Source organism: Homo sapiens, chromosome X, assembly GCF_000001405.40.
Source record: "Homo sapiens chromosome X, GRCh38.p14 Primary Assembly".
In the NCBI taxonomy this organism is placed as follows: Eukaryota; Metazoa; Chordata; class Mammalia; order Primates; family Hominidae; genus Homo; species Homo sapiens.
This window is the reverse complement of record NC_000023.11, coordinates 48,204,986-48,229,396: the sequence shown is the minus strand read 5'-3', so window position 1 is coordinate 48,229,396 and position 24,411 is coordinate 48,204,986. Positions and strand designations below refer to the sequence as shown.

Below are 24,411 nucleotides of genomic sequence, written 5' to 3'. Positions count from 1 at the left end.
GGGCAACATGGCAAAACCCTGTCTCTACAAAAAAATGCAAAAAAATTAGCTGGGCATGGTGGCATGGTGGTCCCAGCTATTTGGGAGGCCGAGGTGGGAGGAACACTTGATCCAAAAGGCAGAGGTTGCAGGGAGCTGTGTTTGCACCACTGCACTCAGCCTGTGCAACAGAGTGCAACCCTTTCTCAAAAAAATGAAGAAAAAAAAGAGAAAATGTTCTCTGTTAAATTATCTATAGTTTATAACAATTTTGTAAAGTATACTTTTGTAAACTAAGATGGAAATGTTTGCTTTTTCTTTCTACTCGATTCCTCCAGAATTTGAAAACTATTTGGAAATATTCTTATGCCAATATGGTTATTTACACAGGTCCAGTAAAAACCTGCTCTTGGTGCCTCATTCAACTCCAACATGGCAAAAATCTCCAGCCCTACAGAGAGTCCCTGATTGCTGTTTTCCAGAAATAGACTGGAAAGGATGGTTACAATAGCATTCACTCCAAGATGGAGTTCCCAGGCTTCATGAATAGAGAACTGGATGCCTTCACGAAGAACCAGAGGGCCCCAGTGTCTTTGACCATATGATGAAGAAACTGGACCTCACTAGTGATGGGCAGTTAGATTTCCAAGAATGTCTGCATCTGATGGATGGCATGACTGTGGCTTACCATGACTCTTTTTTAAAGGCTTCCCATTCCAAGAAGCGGATCTGAGGATCCCTTGGGCCTGGTTTCCAAGCCACCCCCTTTCCTTCCAGCCTCACCATCACCATCTCCTTACAGCCCACACGTCCCCTGAGCCCAGCACACCTACCACCTCATGCAGGCCCTGCCTGCAGGTAGTAATAAAACCATACTTCTCTTCTTTTCTCTTTTCCTTTTTTTTTTGTCTCATTATGTTGGCCAAGTTGGTCTTGAACTCCTGGGCTAAAGTGGCCTCCAAAAGTTCTGGGAATACAGGTGTGAGGCATTGAACCTAGCCCACTTTTTTTTTTCAGCACAAACAAACAAACAAAAACCCAAACAAAAAAATCTCTGCTCTCTTTTTTTTATAGAGGGATACAATTAAAAACATTGGTTATAGGGCAGGGCACAGTAGCTTGCGCCTATAATCCCAGCATTGTGGGAGGCTGAGGCAGGTGGATCACCCGAGGTCAGGAGTTTGAGATCAACCTGGCCAACATGGTGAAATCACATATCTACTAAAAATACAAAAATATTTAGCCAGGCATGGTGTCACACGCCTGTAATCCCAGCTACTCAGGAGGCTGAGGCAGGAGAACTGGTTGAGCCCAGGAGGTGCAGGCTGCAGTGAGCTGAGATCTCATCACTGCACACCAGCCTGGGTGACAGAGCAAGACCCTGTCTCAAAAAGAAAAAAAAAAAATAAAACATTGGCTATATTACCAAGGCTTTCATCAAAATGCATGGAATGCCTGACTTCAAGTGTTTTTAGCTTTAGAGTGGGTGAATAAAAACGGTCACTTTCTGTCAGCCCCAGGAACCTTAAAAAGGTAGGTGAAATCTAAGGTCTGCCTTGGTTTGACTTTCTATCCTCAAGAGGTTTTTAAATCTGAGATTCCTAAGCGATCAATATATAGAGAAAAATTATGTTGCTAAAGAAAAGTTCTAATAGATCAGTTATTAGATTGTAGCTCTGTGCATTGTTTCGAGGTCTTGGTGTTTTGTTTGTTTTTATTTGAGACGGAATCTCACTCTGTCACCAGGCTGGAGTGCAGTGGCACGATCTTGGCTCACTGCAACCTGCGCCTCGCCTGTTCAAGTGATTCTCCTGCCTCAGCCTCCCGAATAGCTGAGACTACAGGTGCATGCCACCATGCCCAGCTAATTTTTGTATTTTTAGTAGAAATGGGGTTTCACCATGTTAGCCAGGATGGTCTTGATCTCTTGACCTCGTGGTCCACTCACCTCAGCCTCCCAAAGTACTGCAATTACAGGTGTGAGCCACTGCGCCCGGCCGAGTTCTTGTTATCTACATATAGAATAGACTAGTTCCAACTTTTTCCCATAAAATTACTAAAAACAGATTCTGCTCTGTTCCTGAAGTCTGCTGATGAAAAGAGTCAAACTCTGGAAAACACTTGAAGAGACTTAATCTGAGCCAAATAGGAGTGACCATGGCCCATGACACAGCCTCAGGAGGTCCTGAGTTCCCCAAGGAGGTTGGGGTGCAGCTTGGTTTTATAGATTTTATGGAGACTCAGTCAAATACATTTAAGAAGTACATTGGTTTGGTCCAGAAAGGCAGGACAACTCGAAGCAGGGGCTTCCAGCTTATGGGTAGATTTAAAAATTTTCTGGTTGGCAATTGGTTGGGTTTATCTAAAAACCTAGGTTGAGCCGGGCTGGTGGCTCACACCTGTAATCCCAGCACTTTGGGAGGCCAAGGCAGGTAGATCACCTGAGGTCAGGAGTTCAAGACAAGCCTCGCCAACATGGTGAAACCTGGTGTCTATGAAAATTAACAAAAAAATTAGCCAGGTGTGGTGGCGGGTGCCTGTAATCCCAGCTACTCAGGTGGCTGAGACACGAGAATTGCTTGAACCCAGGAGACAAAGGTTGCAGTGAGTGCCAACGTGGTAAAATCCTGTCTCTACTGAAAACACAAAAATTAGCCTGGAGTGGTGGGGGGCACCTGTAATCCCAGCTACTCGGGAGGCTGAGGCAGGAGAATCGCTTAAACCCAGGAGGTGGAGGTTTCTGTGAGCCGGGATTGTGCCACCTCCAGCCTGGGTGACAGAGCAAGATTCTATCTCAATACAATACAATGCAATGCAATACAATACAATACAATACAATACAATACAATACAATACAATACAATACAATACAATACAACACAATACAATACAACACAACACAATACAATACAACAATTGCTAAGTAGTTTTGTATTATGATCTCCGAGCTCCATTATTTTGTCTGTGTAATATTTGTTAAGCCAGTTCTCCCAACAGGATAATGTTGGCCTAGTGCTTCAAGATGATTGCTAATGCAGATGGTACTAATAAAATGGAACTTGTTGCTGAACTCCAGACAAATCTGCCTGAATTTTTTTTTCCTTCTGACCTCTTTTTTGCTCAAATGTGGCCCATGTCCCTGATATAGACTCCCTTACCTTTCCCTTGACATGGGACAAAGACAACTGGCACAGGTCCATCCTGGCATGCAGTGACAATGAAGCCTCACTTTAAGATGGCTGATCAGTGAGGTTTTCAAAGAAAGATCTTGATCAAAAGAGGGAATGTGAAAGCTGATTGTGCGAACGAACCAGCTTCTCCAGTGCCAATAAGCCTCATGCCAATGAGTCTCATTTCAAAACAATATGTAACATTTTTCATTCTGATAAAGCTTCCAACTTCTGTTTGTTCATTGGACATACTGAAGACCACCGCAGTCCGTGTGTATGCCCTGAATTGCAACTTTGTGATTCCCAAATACAGCATTTGATTTAGGGATTTGTCTCTATAATTTATTTTGACTTTGATGCATTTAACCAGTATGATGTGTTTAAAGGTCCCCCGCCCCGAGAAGGTGAGTATTATACTGAATTTAAAAACTCTTTCTAGGCTGGGAGTGGTGGCTCATGTCTGTAATCCCAACACCTTGGGAGACCAAGGTGGGCTGATCACCTGGGGTGAGGAGTTCAAGACCAACCTGGCTGACATGGTGAAACCCCATCTCCACAAAAAATACAAAATTAGCTGGGCGTGGTGGCACATGCCTGTAATCTCAGCTACTCGGGAGGCTGAGGCAGGAGAATAGCTTGAACTCAGGAGATGGAGGTTGCAGTGAGCTGACATCGCACCATTGCACTCCAGCCTGGGCAACAAGAGTGAAACTCTGTCCTGAAAAAAAAAAAAACATTCTATTATAATCCTGATAATTGCTTTGCTTTGCATCTTATTATGGATTTGTTGGATATCTAGGTGGCCATAAACTACCCAGAGAAAGATAGAAACAGCAGTGGAGATAATTAGAAAATTGTAGTGTTACTATAAAAGAATAACAAAAGTGGGAAATTTTAAGGGTAACTAAACATAAATTGAGTTTTTCCTGTTGCCAAAAGGGCAAGAAGAGACCTTTCCCCATTTCACTTTCCTTAGAGCATTTTCTTGAGAAAATTTGTATTTGTAAATTATTCCTTTGATCTGTAAGCCTCTGGCCATCCTAGAACCCAGGAATGTCTTGAACTTGAACTCCAGGCCTCAAGTGATCCTCCAGCCTCAGCCTCCCAAAGTGTTGGGATTACAGGCATGAGCCACCACGCCCATTCCCTAGGAATGTCTTTCTTCAGGGCCTTGGAGCCATCTCTTTGAAATGTGAACTTTGAGGAACATGATGTCCTTGTCTCCTTGTCAGCAGGCGAGTTTAGCCTAGGTGCCTTGCTCCAAGCTGTAAGCACCTGCTTGTCATAGATAAATGAGTTTTATTTTTCTTTCAGATAAAAGCAATTAATTAACACAGATGGGTACTCCAATTACTCGGTGAACTTAGGATTTGACTGGGAGTATTCAGTTTTCACCCTTAGCTGCTGCTGTACTAGCAGGCCAATTAGCTACATACCTGGACTTTCTGACTTCTGCTACCACTTTTGTTTGTTTGTTTGTTTTTGAGACAGAGTCTTGCTCTGTCACCCGGGCTGAAGGGCAGCAGTGGGATCTCAGCTCACTGCAAACTCAGCCCCCCAGGGTCAAGCGATTCTCCTACCTCAGCCTGCAGAGTAGCTGGGATTACAGGTGTGCACCACCATGCCCGGCTAATTTTTGTATTTTTAGTAGAGATGGGCTTTCACCATGCTGGCCAGGATGGTCTCGAACTCCTGACTTCATGATCTGCCTGCCTCGGCCTCCCAAAGTGCTGGGACTATAGGCGTGAGCCACTGCACCTGGTCTCTGCTACCATTTTTGTATTGTATGAAACACTACACTTCAAAGTGTGGGATCTGGCTTTCCAGACAGCTGTGAAAGGGGCAGATGATGCAATCTAGAAGTGTAGGAGAGTGCCTGACTGTGGGGTAAATTTTGACCAATAAGAAAAGGAACCAGGAGTGAGAGCCAGGTATGTAAATTCCCTCTCCTCTCCTCTCCCCCTGCACCATTCCAGGCATGGTTTCTCAGTATAGTCTGTCTAGAGGTGTCCGGAATGGCCCAAATTCTGTTTCCTTGGGAACCTGACCTAAAACAATGGACATTCAAACACCGAAGACAGTGTTACATGTGGAGGACCCAGATCTGGGCAGAGGAAAATTATCCCAATAAGGAAATGGACAATTTGAGGATTTGGAATAGAGGGAAGGACTAGAAGAACCAGTAGTAGAATAGCTTAGGGGTAAAATTTTTGGAGAAAAAGGCAGCTCTGTTGATTTTTGCAGTGAACTGCTCAGCTCTGTAAAATATATACTTCCTTTATTTCCATCAGTCTCCCCTATGAAATCATCCACAAAGTATCCTTTTATAACTGTCTATTGCCTGTGAAGTGAATTTTCTTTTTTTCTTTTTCTTTTTTTATTTAGAGATAGAATCCCTGTCTCCCGGGCTGGAGTGCACTGGGGCGATCTCGGCTCGCTTCAATCTCCACCTCCCGAGTTCAAGTGATCCTCCCACCTCAGCTGCCCTAGTAGCTGAGAATACAGGCATGCACCACCAACGCCTGGCTAATTTTTTTTTTGTATTTTTAGTACAGATGGGGTTTCACCATCTTGGCCAGGCTGGTCTTGAACTCCTGTCCTAAGGGGATCCACCCGCCTTGGCCTACCAAAGTGCTGGGATTACAGGCATAAGCCACTGCTGTCAGTTTTCTTTTGCAGAATAAAACAGATTGAGTCTTGTGCCAAAATGCAGGGGAAGCTGCACCCAAACAGGTAACAAAATATTATATACAATCAGACGAGATCGGGCATGTTCAGGGTGGTATGGCCGTAGACAAATATTATATACAATCATAGATAGGTTTTCTACATACCTGTAATAACCAATTACAAAACCAAATTGAGAAAAACTACACTTATATAGTGACAAATATACATAAAATATCTAAAACAAGATGAATGGAGCAAGATGGCAGATAGATCCCGTGCCCCACTCAACATTCCATTGAACTGGGGAGAAAATGTTTTCAAGGGTCAATTCTTTTTTTTTTTTTTTTTTTCTTTTTCTTATTTCTTTTTTTTTTTTATTGATCATTCTTGGGTGTTTCTCGCAGAGGGGGATTTGGCAGGGTCATAGGACAATAGTGGAGGGAAGGTCAGCAGATAAACAAGTGAACAAAGGTCTCTGGTTTTCCTAGGCAGAGGACCCTGCAGCCTTCCGCAGTGTTTGTGTCCCTGGGTACTTGAGATTAGGGAGTGGCGATGACTCTTAACGAGCGTGCTGCCTTCAAGCATCTGTTTAACAAAGCACATCTTGCACCGCCCTTAATCCATTTAACCCTGAGTGGACACAGCACATGTTTCAGAGAGCACAGGGTTGGGGGTAAGGTCACAGGTCAACAGGATCCCAAGGCAGAAGAATTTTTCTTAGTACAGAACAAAATGAAAAGTCTCCCATGTCTACTTCCTTCTACACAGACACGGCAACCATCTGATTTCTCAATCTTTTCCCCACCTTCCCCCCCTTTCTATTCCACAAAACCGCCATTGTCATCATGGCCCGTTCTCAATGAGCTGCTGGGTACACCTCCCAGACGGGGTGGTGGCCGGGCAGAGGGGCTCCTCACTTCCCAGTAGGGGCGGCCGGGCAGAGGTGCCCCACACCTCCCGGACGGGGCGGCTGGCCGGGCGGGGGGCTGACCCCCCCACCTCCCTCCCGGACGGGGCGGCTGCCGGGCGGAGACGCTCCTCACTTCCCAGATGGGGTGGCTGCCGGGCGGAGGGGCTCCTCACTTCTCAGACAGGGTGGCTGCCAGGCGGAGGGGCTCCTCACTTCTCAGACGGGGCAGTTGCCAGGCAGAGGGTCTCCTCACATCCCAGACGGGGCGGCGGGGCAGAGGCGCTCCCCACATCTCAGACGATGGGTGGCCGGGCAGAGGCGCTCCTCACTTCCTAGATGGGATGGAGGCCGGGCAGAGACGCTCCTCACTTTCCAGACTGGGCAGCCAGGCAGAGGGGCTCCTCACATCCCAGACGATGAGCGGCCAGGCAGAGACGCTCCCCACTTCCCAGATGGGGTGGCGGCCGGGCAGAGGCTGGAATCTCGGCACTTTGGGGGGCCAAGGCAGGCGGCTGGGAGGTGGAGGTTGTAGCGAGCCGAGATCACGCCACTGCACTCCAGCCTGGGCAACATTGAGCACTGAGTGAACGAGACTCCATCTGCAATCCCGGCACCTCGGGAGGCCGAGGCTGGCGGATCACTTGAGGCTAGGAGCTGGAGACCAGCCCGGCCAACACAGCGAAACCCCGTCTCCACCAAAAAAATACGAAAACCAGTCAGGCGTGGCGGCGCGAGCCTGCAATCACAGGCACTCGGCAGGCTGAGGCAGGAGAATCAGGCAGGGAGGTTGCAGTGAGCCGAGATGGCAGCAGTACAGTCCAGCTTCGGCTCGGCATCAGAGGGAGACCATGGAAAGAGAGGGAGAGGGAGACCGTGGGGAGAGGGAGAGGGGGAGGGGGGGGAGGGGAGGGGGAGGGAGAGGGAGAGGGAGAGGGAGAGCTCTTTTTTTTTTTTTTTTTTTTTTTGAGACAGAGTCTTGCTCTGTCATCCAGGCTGGAGAGCAGTGGTGCAATCCCGGCTCACTGCAAGCTCCGCCTCCTGGGTTCATGCCATTGTCCTGCCTCAGCCTCCTCAGTAGCTAGGATTACAGGTGCCCGCCACCACACCCGGCTAATTTTTTTTTGTATTTTTTAGTAGAGACAGGGTTTCACTGTGTTAGCCAGGATGATCTCGATCTCCTGACCTTGTGATCCGCCCACCTCAGCCTCCCAAAGTGCAGGAATTACAGATATGAGCCACTGCGCCTGGCCGTCAATTCTTAACAGTAGAGGGAAATAGGAAAACGTGTCCACCAGAAATATTGAGGCATTCCTGGGAGATAGAGTAGTTGGGATCAGACTGATAGAGAAACCCAAGGAGACAAGACCACAGCTCAAATCACTGTAATAAAGAGATGCTGTTTGCTTTTTGAGACAGAGACTTACTCTGTTGCTCAGGCTGGAGTGCAGTGGCTTGATCTCAGCTCACTGCAGGGTCTGTCTCCCAGGTTCAAGTGATTCTCTTGCCTCAGTCCTCACAGTAACTGGGATTCACAGGCGCCCGCCACTACGGCCGGCTAATTTTTATATTTTTAGTAGAGACGGGGGTTTTGCCATGTAGGCCAGGCTGTTCTCGAACTCCTGACCTCAAGTGATCTGCCTGCCTTGGCCTCCCAAAGTGCTGGGATTACAACATGGGTCACTGCGCCCAGTCAGGAGATGCTCTTTGTAACAAAGCCTCTGAAAAACTCCAAACTCTGAATCAATAAAACACGGAGCTGGAAAGGGCCTTAGGATAATCATCAGGTATTTAAAAGTTCATTAGAAACATCTGAATCAGCGAGATTCCACTCCAACACCACACTCAGATTGGCTGGCAGTAGCCACTTTTGCCTCTAAGATGAAACTCTGATAATTGTTCATTAAAGAAAGTGAAGGCCTGGCGAGGTGGCTCACACTTGTCATCCCAGCACTTTGGGAGGCTGAGGCAGGAGGATTGCTGAGGCCAGGAGATCGAGACAAGCCTGGGCAACATAGTGGGATCCCATCTCCACAAAAAATACAAAAATTAGCTGGGTGTGGTGGCCTGTGCCTGTAATCCCAGCTAGTTAGGAAGCAGAAGTGGGAGAATCCCTTGAGCTTTGGAGATCCAGGCTGCAGTGAGCTGTAATTGCACCACTGCATTCCGGCCTGGGCAACAGAGCACTATCTTGTCTCACAAAAACCCAAAAAATTAATTGCCGAGAACAGCTCGGTTGGGGAGACCATAACTAACCCAGCAGCGCTAGAGGAATTAAAGACACACACACAGAAATATAGAGGTGTGAAGTGGGAAATCAGGGATCTTACAGCTTTAAGAGCTGAGAGCCTGGAACAGAGATTTACCCACCTATTTATTAACAGCAAAGCACTCATTAGCATTGTTTCTATAGATATACGATTAACTAAAAATATCACTTATGGGAAATGAAGGGATGGGCCGAATGAAAGGAATAGATTTGGCTAGTTAACTGCAGCAGGAGCATGTCCTTAAGGCACAGATCACTCATGCTATTGTTTGTGGCTTAAGAACGCCTTTAAGCGTTTTTCCGTCCTGGGCAGGCCAGGTGTTCCTTGCTCTCATTCCAGTAAATCCACAACCTTCCAGCTTGGGCGTTAGGGCCATTATGAACATGTTACAGTGATGCAGAGATTTTCTATATGGCCAGTTTTGGGGCCAGTTTATGGCCAGATTTTGGGGGGCTTGCTCCCAAAAAGTAATGTATCAAAACTTGGTGTAACTTCAGCCCTTTACAGTAGTAATGAAGGAGAGAAACACATTTGTGGAGAGGGGACCATGTTCACTCTTCATCTATCCATGACAGACAGATAGTCTGGAGCTTTATATACCCATGGAACCTAAGGAAAAATGTTCCCTGTCATAACTCACAATCTTCCAGCTACCCTTCCTGGCACCTGTCTTGTGGGCTGGGGGACCCAACTTATGGATCCCATCTTCCCAGGGAGAAAGAAAAATCAAAACCTTCAGTATCTCTTTTAGGGTATCCTCTGCTGTATTTACATGGAGGATAAGGCACTCGATATCTAGTAGCTGAATGCTACATTTGTGTCATATAGAACTACATTGGGATAAAATAGAATTTGTTTCCTCTGAGACACAGGTAGAGGTACATCCACACTGACCTGGGTGGAAGCCACCTCTTCCTGAAGTGCCAGGTAGGGCATGCTCACAGATCTGGGGAACCTCTGTTGCTCCTGGAGCCCCACAACTTCCTTCCTGGCACCCTCTCCCTCTGGTGGCTGTGACAGCCCACACGTGGCCTTGGGTATCCCCTGCTTCTTTGCCTGCCTCTCTTCTGCCCACGCTGCATATCTCTGTCTCCCACTGTCCCCACTATGACCACGATTGCCTCTCCCTCCCTGCTCTCTCTCTCTCCTAGGGCTCCTTGTCTTGGGTAAAGGAACCCACAGCCTTTACATTGTGATTGGGGACAGAGCCCGGGGCTTGTTCAATTCCTCCTCCCTCCACCACACACACCTGTCCTCCTTAATGTTTCTGAAGTCAGTGAGATCCAAACTCAGCTCCTCCTGCACCTGCCAGCTGTAGGACCTGTGACAAGATGCCTACCATCTGTCTGGACTCTGTCTCTCATCTATCATATAGGCATAATGATGATAGTGTCCTCCTTCCAAGGCTGGGGAGAACCAGGAGGCCAAGGTGATGGGGTATGAATGGTCAAAACAGCTCCAATCCTGCCTCCACCTGGGGCTGGTGTTTCAAGTCTGTTGTGTGTGAATGGAGCTTTAATGTCTTCATTCACACACACTGGTTTGTTCTAAAATGGACTCCCCTCTGCTCTTCCTTCCCCACAACTGTTTCACCTCTGCACCATGCAATGGTACATGTCAGGAAGAACTGTCCCATTCCCAAATCATCGTCCCCACCCCAGCCCCCAGGCCCTTGGGTGGTGAGACTCTTGATGGGCAGTCTCATGCTTCTGTCAAGGGGACTTTCCCACCGTTGCTCCTTTGCAGGGAGACTAAGTGGACTCTTCTATTCCCTGGCCATCACAGGGTCTACAGTGCATGCATATTCCTCATTCCTCCACGTTCCCCAGATGACGATTTCATCTGTGTCTCCTCCCACATACTCCCAAATGGACTGTCCCAGCCCTAGAATGCAAAAATCGTTCAGAGAGAGAAGGCCAAGATTCCCAACCACCTGCTGCAGAATCCTGCTCCAGGACTGAAGTGTATCGTCTCTATCAAAATAAAAACTGGAGGCCAGGTGCAGTGGCTCATGCCTGTAATCACAGCACTTTAGGAGGCCAAGGTGGGAGGATCACTTGATCCCAGGAGTTCAAGGTTGCATTGAGCTATGATCATCCCCCTGCACTTCAGCCTGGACAGAGCAAGACCCTGTCTCTAGAAACAAACAAACAAACAACTGGAGACATCCTCCTCTAGAATGGTGGTCAGGAACATCTGTCTGCCTTGTTCCCCAAGGTCTCTCCAGCACCTAGAACAGCGCTCAGCACGAGGACACACTCATTAGGGTTTTGTTGAATAAATGACTCCTTTGACACAGCAATTCCACTTCTAAGAATCTTTCCTAAAGAAGTATTCACACACATGCTCAGAGCTGTGTGCACAACAATGAGAGGAGCAAACAACTGGGGAACGTTTGCAAAGGTTTATTAACTGGCAGTGACTGATAGAGGGGAATCGGATGAGGGGAGTACATGCTGAACAGGAAACAGAGTGAGGGGGGCTTGACCAGGATGCATGGCAATGGAGAAAAGCAGATGGGAGATCCTTATACTGGTACTTGGTGTGTGTGTGTGTGTGTGTGTGGTGTGTAAATGCAGAGGAAAAAATCTGAAATTAAACACTCAGACCTCCCCTCAGTAGTCACATCTGGGGAGAGAGGAGGGTAGTGCTGTTCTATGGAGAGAATACCTGACAATACTTCTTTTCTGAGATAGGTGCATGGATACACAGACCGAAATATGCATTACGTCTTGCTCATCAATGAAAACACTAATAGCTAGCAGAATGGCACACTGCAAGAAAATACAGCGGAAATGCTAACATCGAACTCTTGGCACACTAAGAAAAATGACGCTCAACTTTTCACTGTTGTGAACACTTGCTTTCACTTGCTATGCACCTGATGATGAGGGGTCCGCAGCCATGCCCATGTTCGTGAAAGGTCACCACATTCTGCTTCTCATCATGGGCATGTGTCATATCCCCGAGGCTGAGGCAAGAAGAGAGAAGGAAATAAGTGGCAGTGAGTTCCCACCACGTGACAACTCAATCTCAACTCCTCCTGTCCTGCAGACCCTGCACACTCTGATTCTGTCCTACCCCAGGACCTGCACATGGCTTCCACGGTTCCTCGAAGTGAACCATCTGCTCATGCCACAGTGACTTCCTTGCCTGGGTTATCTATTCCTAGGCTAGAGGAAGGTGTGGCCCGCATATCAGTGCTGACCTGGGGTTTGGGAACCCACAGCATCCGGGGTAGGGAGGATCCCTGGATATATAGGGCAGGGAGTAGAAAGAGCATGGAAAATCTCGTCATTCAACCTCAATGCTGTACCCTAGAAAATTATGAGAAGGGAATGATTTGGGGAATAAGTGACAAGATTGGATACCAGTACCATAACAGAATAGCTAGCACATCTGCAGGGATGTGGAGGGTGAGCCGAATGTTCACTTATGGAGTTACTTGTCGTCTTCCTCAGGGTCGCTGATCTCTTCATAAATCACCAGTTGCTTTCTCTCACGCAGTCTGTGGATCCAGGCATGTTTCCCTCTTTTGGTTCCTATGATGGAGAAGAGTTGGAAGATAAGAGTTGGGTAGGTTGGAGAGTGTTAGGCTCTGTTTTCTTAAAAAAAGGAGATGCCTCCCCATCCCAAGTGCCCATGGGCCTTCTTTATCCAGTTTTTCACATTCTCTGGCTTAGAGAGGCTGAGACCTTAACCCATTATTATTATTATTTTTAATTTTACTATTTTAATAAATTTGTATATAACTCCAGTCCAAATTTGTATGAAGTTCTGAATGTATATAATTAGGTTCAAATATATTTATTTGTTTTTAATTTTATTATTATTATATTTTAAGTTTTAGGGTACATGTGCACAACGTGCAGGTTTGTTACATATGGAGGCATGTGCCATGTTGGTGTGCTGCACCCATTAACGATTATATCTCTTATAGTGATCTGTGATCAGTGAGTTTCGATGTTATTATTGTAGTTGTTTTTTAGTCTTTTAAAATACTTTCTGTTTTTTGTTTGTATACACAATAGGTGTATCTACTTATGGGGTACATGAGATGTTTTGATACATGCATGCAATGTGTAATAATCACATCATGGAAAATAGGGTATCCATCCCCTCAACCATTTATCCTTGCATTACAAATAATCCATTTACACTCTTTTAGTTTTTTAAAATGTACAGTTAAGTTATTATTGACTGTAATCACCCTGTTGTGGGTAATTATTTTGGGGGTAACAGGAACTGCACCCACAGAAGATGACAAACTTAATCGATCAATGTTGTGTGTGTTCTGACTGCTCCATCGATGAGCTCTTCCCCATCTCTCCTCCTTTTCTTGGGCCTCCCTATTTCCTGAGACACAGCAACACTGAAATTAGGACAATGAACAACTCTACAATGGCCGCTAAGTGTTCAAATGAAAGGAAGAGTCGCATGTCTCTCACTTTAAATCAGAAGCTAGAAATGCCTAAGCTTAGTGAGGAAGCATGCTGAAAGCCAAGACAGGCTGAAAGCTCGGCCTCTTGCACCAGCCAAGCTGTGAATGCAAAGGAAAAGTTCTTGAAGGAAATAATAGTATATAATGCAAAGGAAAAGTTCTTGAAGGAAATAATAATACTAATATTCCAGTGAACACACAAATAAGAAAGCAAAACAGACTTACTGCTCAAATAGAGAAAGTTTGAGTGGTCTGGACAGAAGATGAAACCAGCCACAACATTGACTTAAGCCAAAGTCTAATTCAGAGCAAGACCCGAACTCTCTTCAAGTCCATGAAAGCTGAGAGAGGTGAAGAAGCTGCAGGAGAAACGTGTGAAGCTAGCAGAGGTTGGTTCATGAGGTTTAAGGAAAGAAGCTGTCTCCATAACATAAAAGTTCAAGGTGAAGCAGCAAACCCTGATGGAGAAGCTGCAGCAAGTTATCCAGAAGATCTAGCTAAGGTCACTGATGAAGGTGGCTACACTAAAGAACAGATTTTCAATACGGATAAAATAGCCTTCTATATTGAAGAAGATGCCATCTAGGACTTTCATAGCAAGAGAGGATTGACTCCAACTTTGAAAGAAACTCTACTATGGATAAAATGCTATCCGATAGCATCACATACTACAGAGAAATCTTTCATGAAAGGAAGAGCTAACTGATTTGGCAAATTTCATTGTTGTGTTCTTTTAAGAAACTGCCACAGCCACTCCACCCTTCAGGAACCACCACCTAGATCAGCCAGCAGCCATCAACACCGAGGCAAGATCCTCCACCAGCAAAAGGAGTGTGACTCACTGAAGGCTCCGAAGATTGTTAGCATTTTTATACAATGAATTATTTTAAAATTAGGGTATGTACATTTTTAGACATAATGCTATTGCAAACTTAGTAGATTATAGCATAGTGTAAACATAATGTTTTTATGCACTGCGAAACAAACGAAACACAATGTGTGTGACTCACTTTATTGTAGTGGTCTGGAACTGAACCTGCAATATCTCTGAAGTACACCTGTATTGGGTATCAGGCATTGAGCTGAGTATGATATGATCCCAGGTTATCACAGATAGAATTGCTTGAGCACATTTATATGGATGACAACTCAAATGTGTGTCTCTGGTAGTCATGCCTAACATCTCATCTGAAGCTGGGTGAGCTCCTCAGGCCAGTCTGGACCCAGGCTTGTCTGGGATCCATGCCACACACCCAGTCCACACACCTGAACATAGCCAGGGAAGCCAGAGGGGTTGTTCCCAAATCGTTTCCTCTTACCAGATCTCTCGTGAATCTTCTCAGAGCTACTTGCTTTTCCCGGGGGGCACAGCTGTTTCCCATCGTTCTGTGGGCCAGATGCTTCTAGCACTTCCTTTGAATCATTTCCTTCCTCTGCTGGCTTCTCAGGCATGATCTGTATAATGTGAAGATGACAGATAAACTGTATCAGTGACATTTCTACAGTGCTTTAGAGCTTACAAAGAATCTTCACATGCATTACCTTAATCAATGTTCTCAACAATGCTGGGATTGTTACACAGGCCTAAATTAGGAGAAACCTGGGAGGTTAGAAGGGAAAGGAATGGCCTAAATGACTGGGGTTTCCAGGGTTAGAATGTTTATCTTCAAACTGTTTTAAGACTGACATTCTTGCAAACAGCAAAAATCTCCATGTAATTGAGAGTTTGGTATACAGAAGATTTGGAGCATAGCATTCTAAGAATTCACAAGGTCTACAAAAGGAAGAGCTTCTATAAAATACAAGGGATCCCATATAAGCTTGTAGACAGCTGCTCGGAGAGTAAATATAAAAACATAGAGAGGGGACAAAACACTGCTGGGAAAGATGGTGTGGAGAGATGAATACAGGGAAGGGAGAGGGAAAGAAATGGTTTGCTGAAATTAATCTAGGCAGCAAAGAAAGCAGTACCAGATCTGGCATACCAGCCTACCGAGGCACCAACATTGAATGTGGAATTCAGTGAGGTGGTACCCATACCAATTCTGGTTGCATTGGGATGTGTCACTGACCAACATTGTTAAACTACATTTATACAGCTTTTTCACTTATGAAATAGTGAAAAATACATGTAAAATGGGCTAAAGGAATGTCCTCTCTGAGCTTGCAAACACTGTTTAAATGTAGTAATAATAAAAAACAATACTTTTCATGATCCTTCTTTGAATTTGGTCTCCACAATGGCAACCCAACTCCAAGATCCCTTTACCCTCTAAACCAGAGTTGAATCTGCACTTTTGGGATCACTCATTCAGGGGAATCCGAGGGATCCCCTGGGCTGGGACGGGGGCTTCCCGGATGCCCCACTTGTAGACAAGGCCCTCAAGGAGCTCACAGTAGGGAGGGACCGTGAAGAGTCAAACCGATTCCTAAGCCATGCGAGTGGCCCTGGTAACAGAGCAGAGGCCAGCTGGTCCTTCCTGTTGTGAGAGTGGGTGTCTCAATGGAAGCACCAGCAGGCCCTATGGGGTAAAGCCTTAGTGAGCAACATCTGAACTTCATAAACAAATGCAAACGTGAATGAGCTTCAAATGGCTTGGAGCTCTGGATTAGACTACCACTGCCACTGCGCCTCAGGAAAATTCTTTAACATCTCTGTACAAGGAGAGCCTCATTTCATTATTATTTTACTGATAACTATGATCTATAACATGAACTATTATTCTTTACTGCCATTTCATTGACCAGAAGTCTGGATCTCAGAGAACTTAGAAGATTTGCGCCAACTCACATGGCTTTTATATGGATGATAACTGAAGTGTGTGACTCATTATTATTTGGAGATAGTAATAGAAACGTCGTCGTAGAGGTATTCTTAAGGATTAAATAAATTAATCCATGTAAACTGTTTAGAATATATGGCATCTCTATGAAAACAAAAGAAATATTAAGGATCACAACTGTTAGCATTATCAAGCCATTGATGCTACATCAGGTGTTGTGATAGACATGGGGAGGAGGCAGTGAGGGTATTTTTGATATTCTTCCACTCTTACCAGTGTTCATATCCGTGGAGGGACAAAGGTTCTCTGGTCCTTTAGATTTGAGAGACACTCACCTTCGGGAAGATTCTATGGAGCCTGCCGAAAGTCATCTGAGGATGTTCAACTGAAAGAGAATACATCAGAATTTTTCTTTGTTGGTGAAGATTTCCAAACTCTAGAGAGACTTCTGTTGCATGAGGGCATTCTGCAGCAGAGGTTATGAGTCCACTGATTGTTGAGGAGTTATTTGAGATTTGCTTCTAAATTATGTTTAGTCATGGTTGGTTCATTTATCTGTGGCTTCAATTCAGAATTTTCCATCTCATGGTTTATCACATGGGGACTAAACCCCATCACAGTCTCATCTTATTCCATTACATATCTTTTACTTTTTCCCAAATAATTAAATTGATTGGTTGGGAATCTGAACTGTATCCACTCAAGATGTGCAACAACTGAAAATCATTGTACACTTCAAATGGGTGAATCTTATGGTATGTGAATTAAGCTGTTAAATGTGTGATGAACCATGGATGATTTGGTCCAGTGGCTCTGAAATATTTTCAGTATAAAAACAGTCCTTTAACGTCAAAAACTTGGCAGATACTCAAGCACTGGCTTTTCAGGTCCCTTATAGTGATTGTGGGAGATTGTAGAATCTGGCCTGTTTAGTTGGCGAGTAATAGGTCTATTGGAGACAGTTTGGACTTTCTGACCTTGTCTTATAATTGTGTTGTCAGAGCAGAAGAGCAAGTAAATACATATGTCCCATTAATAGTCCTGAAATGCCCAAAAATCTCTTCGCAAGAACTTGTCTTTTTTTCACTCTATGTTATCTCTGCTCACTGACAAGTGGGAAAGCTCTCTGTGTTTTGGATCAGGGATCACTCTTTCAAAATCCCTTCCAAGCTCATCACGGAGAATTGGGGTTATTTGGGAATGAGAAGACTATTTGGTTTTGATAAAATACAGAGAAACATCCATCTTTATTACATAATGTGTTCATTATCCTCTCTCATAAGATACTTATCCAATACTTACATGCTGTTAATTATAGAAACTCTGGATTTTTTTTGCAGATCTTTGCTTTTAATATTTTCTTTTTTTATATTTTCACTTGTAACATTTTCTTAACTGTCCTTTGATTCATTAACAGTGCTTAGCAAGAACAACATGTCCTTTAAAAATGAAATATTTCAAACACGTGGAAAAGTATGTGGAATACTATTGAGTCCAGTCGGATCTCAACATTACCCCACAGCTATGTTAGATCTGATTTATTTATTCAGAGTATTAGAAATACTATAAACGCGCTGGGTGTGGTAGCTCATGCCTGTAATCTGAGCACTTTGGGAGGCTGAGGCAGGTGGATCATCTGAGATGAGGAAGTTTGAGACCTGCCTGGCAAACATGGTGAAACCTTGTTGCTACCAAAAATAAAAAAAATAGCTGGGTGTGGGTCGGGCGCCTGTAATTCCAGCTACTCGGGAGGCGTGGGCAGCAGAATGATTTGAACCCGGGAGTTGAAGGTTGCAGTGAGCTGATATTATGCTATTGCACTCCAGCCTGGGCGACAAGAGCGAAACTCCATCAAAAACAAACAAACAAACAAACAAACAAACAAACAAACAAAGAAAACCACTATCAACAAGTCACCTTGAAGCTTTCTGTGCAATCCCTGCCCTCCCTCCTTCTCCACTTACAGCCATTCTTCTCAATTTGATGGTTTTTTATTCTCATTCATGTTTTTATACTTTACCATTTACTTATTATCCATAAAAATATATACTCTTGTTTTGCATGTTTTAGCATTTTATATGAATGGCCTCTGTAGTTAACTTTTTGTGTGCAATTTGTTTTTTCACTCAGCCCTGGTGTGTATGAGGGAATAATGTTAGTGGGAACTGTTCTGAACTCCCAAATAGCTGCGATTTCAGGCGCCCATCACCAACCCCTAGTAGAGATGGGGTTTCACCTTGTTGGCCAGGCTGGTCTTGAACTCCTTGAGCGATCCACTTGTCTCGGCCTCCCAAAGTGCTGGAATTACAGGCGTGAGCCACCGCGCCTAGCAGTGTCTAAGCTATTCAAAATTTGTTACAGCAGCAATAAAAAATGAATACGCATAGAAACATTTATTAGTGAAACAAAATAGAAGTCAAGAAACAGACTAATCTATATGAAAACATCAGCATGCATTTCCAAACAGTGGGCAAAAGATGATGGGTTGCATAATAAATGATTGCTTGACAAGTGTCTATCCATTTAAACCACATAAAATAACAAATTCTAAAAAATCAGTGACTTAAATGTGAAAACGTGAAGTCATAAAGAACTAGATGACAATTTAGGAAAATATTACAGTGTAAGACATCTTGAGTTGGCATAGGCATTTCCTGACATTACACCAAGGCTATGAGCAATGAATCTGACAAATTTAAAGATGTAAAAATTAAAGTATCATCTAATTCAAAAGACACCATAAACAACTGTTTAAAAAGGCAAATGTTGGGGAAATTGGTGAAGCATCCACAATAAATTAACAGCAACCATCTCTAATATACAACGAAGCTTTTGCATATCAATAAGAGAAACTGGAACAACCCAATGAAAAAATGTGTTCAGGCATGGCACTACTTCACCGTATAGCAGAAAAGGATCATGAAATAGAAAATATGAAAGGAAAATAATAAAGGAAATGGAGAATAGATCCCAGAAGTTTCAACGTTCATCCAATAGAAGTTCCAGAGATAGGCCAGGCGCGGTGGCTCATGCCTGTAATCCCAGCACTTTGACAGACTGAGGCAGACGGCTCGCCTGTGGTCAGGAGTTCGAGACCAGCCTGGCCAACATGGTGAAGCCCCGTCTCTACAAAAATACAAAAATTAGTCAGGCATAGTGTCACATGCCTGTGGTCCCAGCTACTCAAGGGACTGAGGCAGGAAAATTGCTTGGACTCAGGAGGAGGCAGAGGTGCAGTGAGCCAAGATCGAGTCACTGCACTCCAGCCTAGGCGAAAGAGCAAGACTCTGTCTCAAATAAATAAATAAAAATAAAACCTATTGGATAGATTGGATATGAAGACATTAACTGCTCAAATACATAATTCATTGGGATAGATTGGATATTAAGACGGATATAGTTGAAAAAGCAATTACTGACCTGAGGAAATTAGTCTAAAGAATTCATAAAAGTAATCGGTAATGGATAGAGATGAAGTAAACGAAAGAAAAGTTAATTAATAGGGAGCATAGAAGAATAAATGTCAAAACACATCTAATAGTAGCCTTATAAGAAGAGAACATAGTCATTAAAAAGGAGAGTGTACTTAAACAAGTAATGAGTGAGAATTTCTCAGATTTAGAGGAATATCTTAAGATTTAAAGGGATCATCGTACACACACACATACACACACAGGAACAGTGAAATGAAAAATTATGAAAGACAAAAATTTTTTTTAAATGATCAGAGGAAAATAGCAGGTTACTTACAAAGGAAAAATATTTCAGCCTTCATCAGATCTCTCAAACACCACACTGGAGGCAAGGATACAATGGTGTAATAACTCCAAAGTGTTGAACGAAAGGAATTTTTTTTTCTTTTTTTGGAGACAGAGTCTCGCTTTGTCACCCAGGCTGGAGTGCAGTGGCATGATCTCAGCTCACTGCAACCTCTACCTCCCAGTTTCAAGTGATTCTCCTCCTCAGCCTCCTGAGTAGCTGGGGCTACAGGTGCACACTATCACACCCAGCTAATTTTTGTACTTTTAGTACAAAATTAGTAGAGATGGGGTTTCGCCATGTTGGCCAGGCTGATCTCCAACTCCTGACCTGAGGTTATCTGTCCGCCTTGGCCTCCCAATATGCTGGGATTATAGGGGTAAGCCACTGCGCCCGTGAAAGAAAGGAATTTTTATATTTTTGGTGGAGTATGGCAATGTCAGGCATATAACACTTGAGGAGATTGAAGACACAGGGAAATGTTAAAGCAAACAAGTATTTATTGCACTTATTAAAGACTGTAAGGAAGGGCCAGCTGCAGTGGCTCATGCCTGTAATCCCAGCACTTTGGGAGCCTGAGGCAAGAGGATTGGTTGAGCCCAGGAATTCAAGACCAGCCTGGGCAACATGGTGAAACCCCATCTCTACAAAAAACAAAAACAAAAACAAAAACAAAAACAAAAACAAAAAAAACCACAAGAATTAGATGGGCATATCAAGTTCCTGGGTTCATACAGAATTAAAAAAAAAATAGCTGGATTTGGTAGTGCGTATCTGTAGTCCCAGCTACTCAGGAGGCTGGGGCAGGAAGATTGCTTGGGCCCTGGAGTTTGAGGCTGCAGTGAGCTAGGATTGGGTCACTGCACTCCAGCCTGAGTGACAGAGTGAGACTTTGTCTCTGAAAATAACAAAAAGATCGTAAGGATGATTTTACTCAGAGGGGGGACTCCTGTGATAGGCACAGGGACCACTGCAATGGGGTCTTGCAGTGGGAGAGTGATATTGGGATCGACTTCATCTCCACCAAGGACAAGTGGGGATTTGTAGTCAAGGAGTAGGGTCGGGGGGTCAGAAGATGGGAAATTACTTGGAGGAAACCTCAGGTGCAGGGGGATTCTGGCTAAACTGACTTGACAGGATTTTTGCTGAAACAGGCTAAATGGGCAGAGTCCCTGGATGAAGGACAGAGCCCGAGGTTGGGGCCTAGTCAGAAACAGGACTCAGAGGAGCCCCACTCAAGTTTGGTCAAAGAAGAGTGTCTCTGTCTGAAAGGATAAGCAAGAAAGTCAACAGCAGTAAAATGAATGGGTCACAAAGGAGAATTTTTGTGCATTGCTAAGCAGGACTCTGCTTTAACCATTGTGAAAGTTGATTACGTGAAGTGAGTCGCTCTTAGTTTTTTTTGAGTTCTTATTTGCAGAGGAAGCCTTCAGGTACTATGCTTCAGAGAGAATAGGTTGTAACATTTTTTTTTTTCTTTTTGAGACAGAGTCTCACTATATCGCCAGGCTAGAGTGCAGTGGCTCCTTCTCTGCTCACTGCAGCCTCTGGCTCTCGGGTTCGAGCGATTCTCTTGCCTGAGCCTCCTGAGTAGCTGAGACTACAGGCATGTGCCACCACGCCCGGCTAATTTTTTGTATTTTTAGTAGATACCGGATTTCACTATGTTAGCTAGGATGGTGTTGATCTCCTGACCTCATGATCCGCCCTCCTCAGCCCCCTAAAGTGCTGGGATTACAGGCGTGAGCCACCGCGCCCGGCCAACATGTTTCTTATCAGACTTCAAGTCTGTGTTGATGTTGATGCCAGAGAAGTATAATGAGGCATGTCTGACCCCCACTTCCTGTCATGGCCTGAAACCGTCTCTCAGGTTAAATTTTAAAAGAGCCCTGGCTTAGGAGGAAGTCTTTTCAGATGGTTGGGGGCAGGGGGCTTAGGATTTTATTTTTGATTTACAAGTCCTACAAGGTGAAACTGCACAAATTTTAAAGAACAAGTCTCATGCCTGATGTATGGACCACATAAAAAGTTCACCAAACTGTCCAATGCCATAACCAGAGACATTTGCTCGACAAGTCAGGATGAGAAGTTGATGTTTCCACACTGTAGACAGCTTTTCTCAAGATGCCAGAATAAGTCTTCATATCATAATGAGAATCTTACCCCCTGAATGTCTACATTTTTCACTTGACAGAACCTGACCCCAAATCTTTTCCTTCACCTAGTGGTCCCTTTTATAGAGTCGGCACTCTGCTTTAATTCAACCCAGTCCCAAAATACTACTCAAAGACTATAAGAGGTCTCACTCAATTGCCCCGTAGTCTTCTGATTTGTTTAGCTGGTGGCCCCTAGGCTTGGGATCTTCATTCAAAACCATTGTACAAACTAAATTTATTATATTATTGCTAATTATAGCTGGGTGTGGGGGCTTACACCTGTAATCTCAGCACTTTGGGATGCCAAGGCAGGCAGATCACTTGAGGTCGGGAGTTGGAGACCAGCCTGGCCAACATGGTGAAACCCCATCTCTACTAAAAAGACAAAAATTAGCCGGCCGTGGTGGTGGGCACCTGTAATCCAAGCTACTCGGGAGGCTGAAGCAGTAGAATCACTTGAACCTGGGAGATGGAGGTTGCAGTGAGCAACCTTGCTTACTACAGTGGCTGGATCACACCACTGCACTCCAGCCTGGGTGACAGAGCGAGACTCCATCTCAGAAAACAAAACAAAAACAAAAACCTAATAAATGCAGTTAAGAAACTATCTTAAAACAAAATCCCTGTTTTTTTAGACTGATTATTTAAAAGATAAAGAAAAACAGATCAACATGTTAAGAAAACCTGTTTCAAACCTAGAGGAGCAGACTCACCCTGCTTCAGTGCACCCTTGATACTAATGTTCAATTTTTAGAAAAACTGATAAACAATTTCTTTTCAATCCCAACCAACCAGATGATATATAAGACTCCCTTCCCAAGGCTCATCCTTCATAAACCCTCAGCAACTTGCGTAGACATTCCATCATTTTTTTACCCCCAGTCTTAGTCCTACAATTTTTCATTTTTATATTGGACTGCAATCCAAGTACCAACCAAGTCTGACCCTGTTTAACTTCTGAGATCATGCAATATTTGGTGCATTCAGGTGGTATGGCCATAGACTATTTTTCTTTTTTTTTTTTTTTTGAGACAGAGTCTTGCTCTGTCACCCAGGTTGGAGGGCAGTGTCGCAATCTCAGCTCACTGCAACCTCCACCTCCCGGGTTCCAGTGATTCTCCTGCCTCAGGCTCCTGAGTAGCTGGGATTACAGGCATGGGCCAACACATCTGGCTAACTTTTTTACTTTTAGTAGAGACGGGGTTTCGCCATGTTGGCTCACGAACTCCTGACCTCGTGATCCACCTGCCTCAGCCTCCCAAAGTGCTGAGATTACAGGCATGAGCCACCACGCCCGGCCATAACCTTAATTTTTAGTAAAAATCTAGAAAGTAGTTTGGAATTGTTATATATTAACATATCATGAATATATATTTTATAATCTTTAAAAATTTTTTTTTTTTTTTTTTTTTTTTTTTTTTTTTTTGAGACGGAGTCTCGCTCTGTCACCAGGCAGGAGTGCAGTGGCTCAATCTAGGCTCACAGAAACTTCTGCTCCTGGGTTCAAGCGATTCTCCTGCCTCAGCCTCCCAAGTAGTTGGGACTACAGGTGCCCACCACCACACCCAGCTAATTTTTGTATTTTTAGTAGAGACGGGGGTTCATCATGTTGGCCAGGATGGTCTTGATCTCTTGACCTCGTGATCCACCCACCTCAGCCTCCCAAAGTGCTAGGATTACAGGCGTGAGCCACCTCCCCCGGCCAGAACAATTTTCTACATTTTCAATGTAGAACAGGGCATTTTATTAACAGATCCAAATATCTTTTCTCTTTTATAAAACTTAAGGGCCAAGAACAAACTTGTATTTATGTTTAGCGATTTGTATCAGTTATTTTCTTAGATGGAAGTGATCCCGACATTTAACGAGTACCTATTACTAAATCTAACATAACATAACTTTAATATTTCATCTTCCTATGATAAGAGCAAGAGAAAAAAGATTTCAAATTACATGAAAAGTTCATTTATAAACATGTATCTCACATTTACCTCTTTTATTCATTTTTAACAATTATACCTAGATTACTTATGAAAACTGACATATTAAACAAAGCTAGTTGGCCGGATGAGGTGGCTCATGCCTCTCCATCCAGGGACTCTGCCCATTTAGCCTGTTTCAGCAAAATTCCTGTCAAGTCTGTTTAGCCAGAATCTGCCTGCACCTGATGTCTCCTCCAAGTAATTTCCCATCTTCTGACCCCCTGACCCTACTCCTTGACTATAAATCCCCACTTGCCCTTGGTGGAGTTGAAGTTGATCCCGATATCACTCTCC

The 24,411-nt window shown here is 44.2% G+C and overlaps 3 pseudogenes; 1 reads left to right on the top strand and 2 right to left on the bottom strand.

Moving 5' to 3' along the window:
* Nucleotides 1-411: 411 nt before the first annotated feature.
* S100A11P7 (S100A11 pseudogene 7) lies at nucleotides 412-712 on the top strand (annotated as a pseudogene).
* On the bottom strand, nucleotides 11,387-16,606 carry SSX20P (SSX family member 20, pseudogene; annotated as a pseudogene).
* Nucleotides 23,023-23,139, bottom strand: RNA5SP503 (RNA, 5S ribosomal pseudogene 503; annotated as a pseudogene).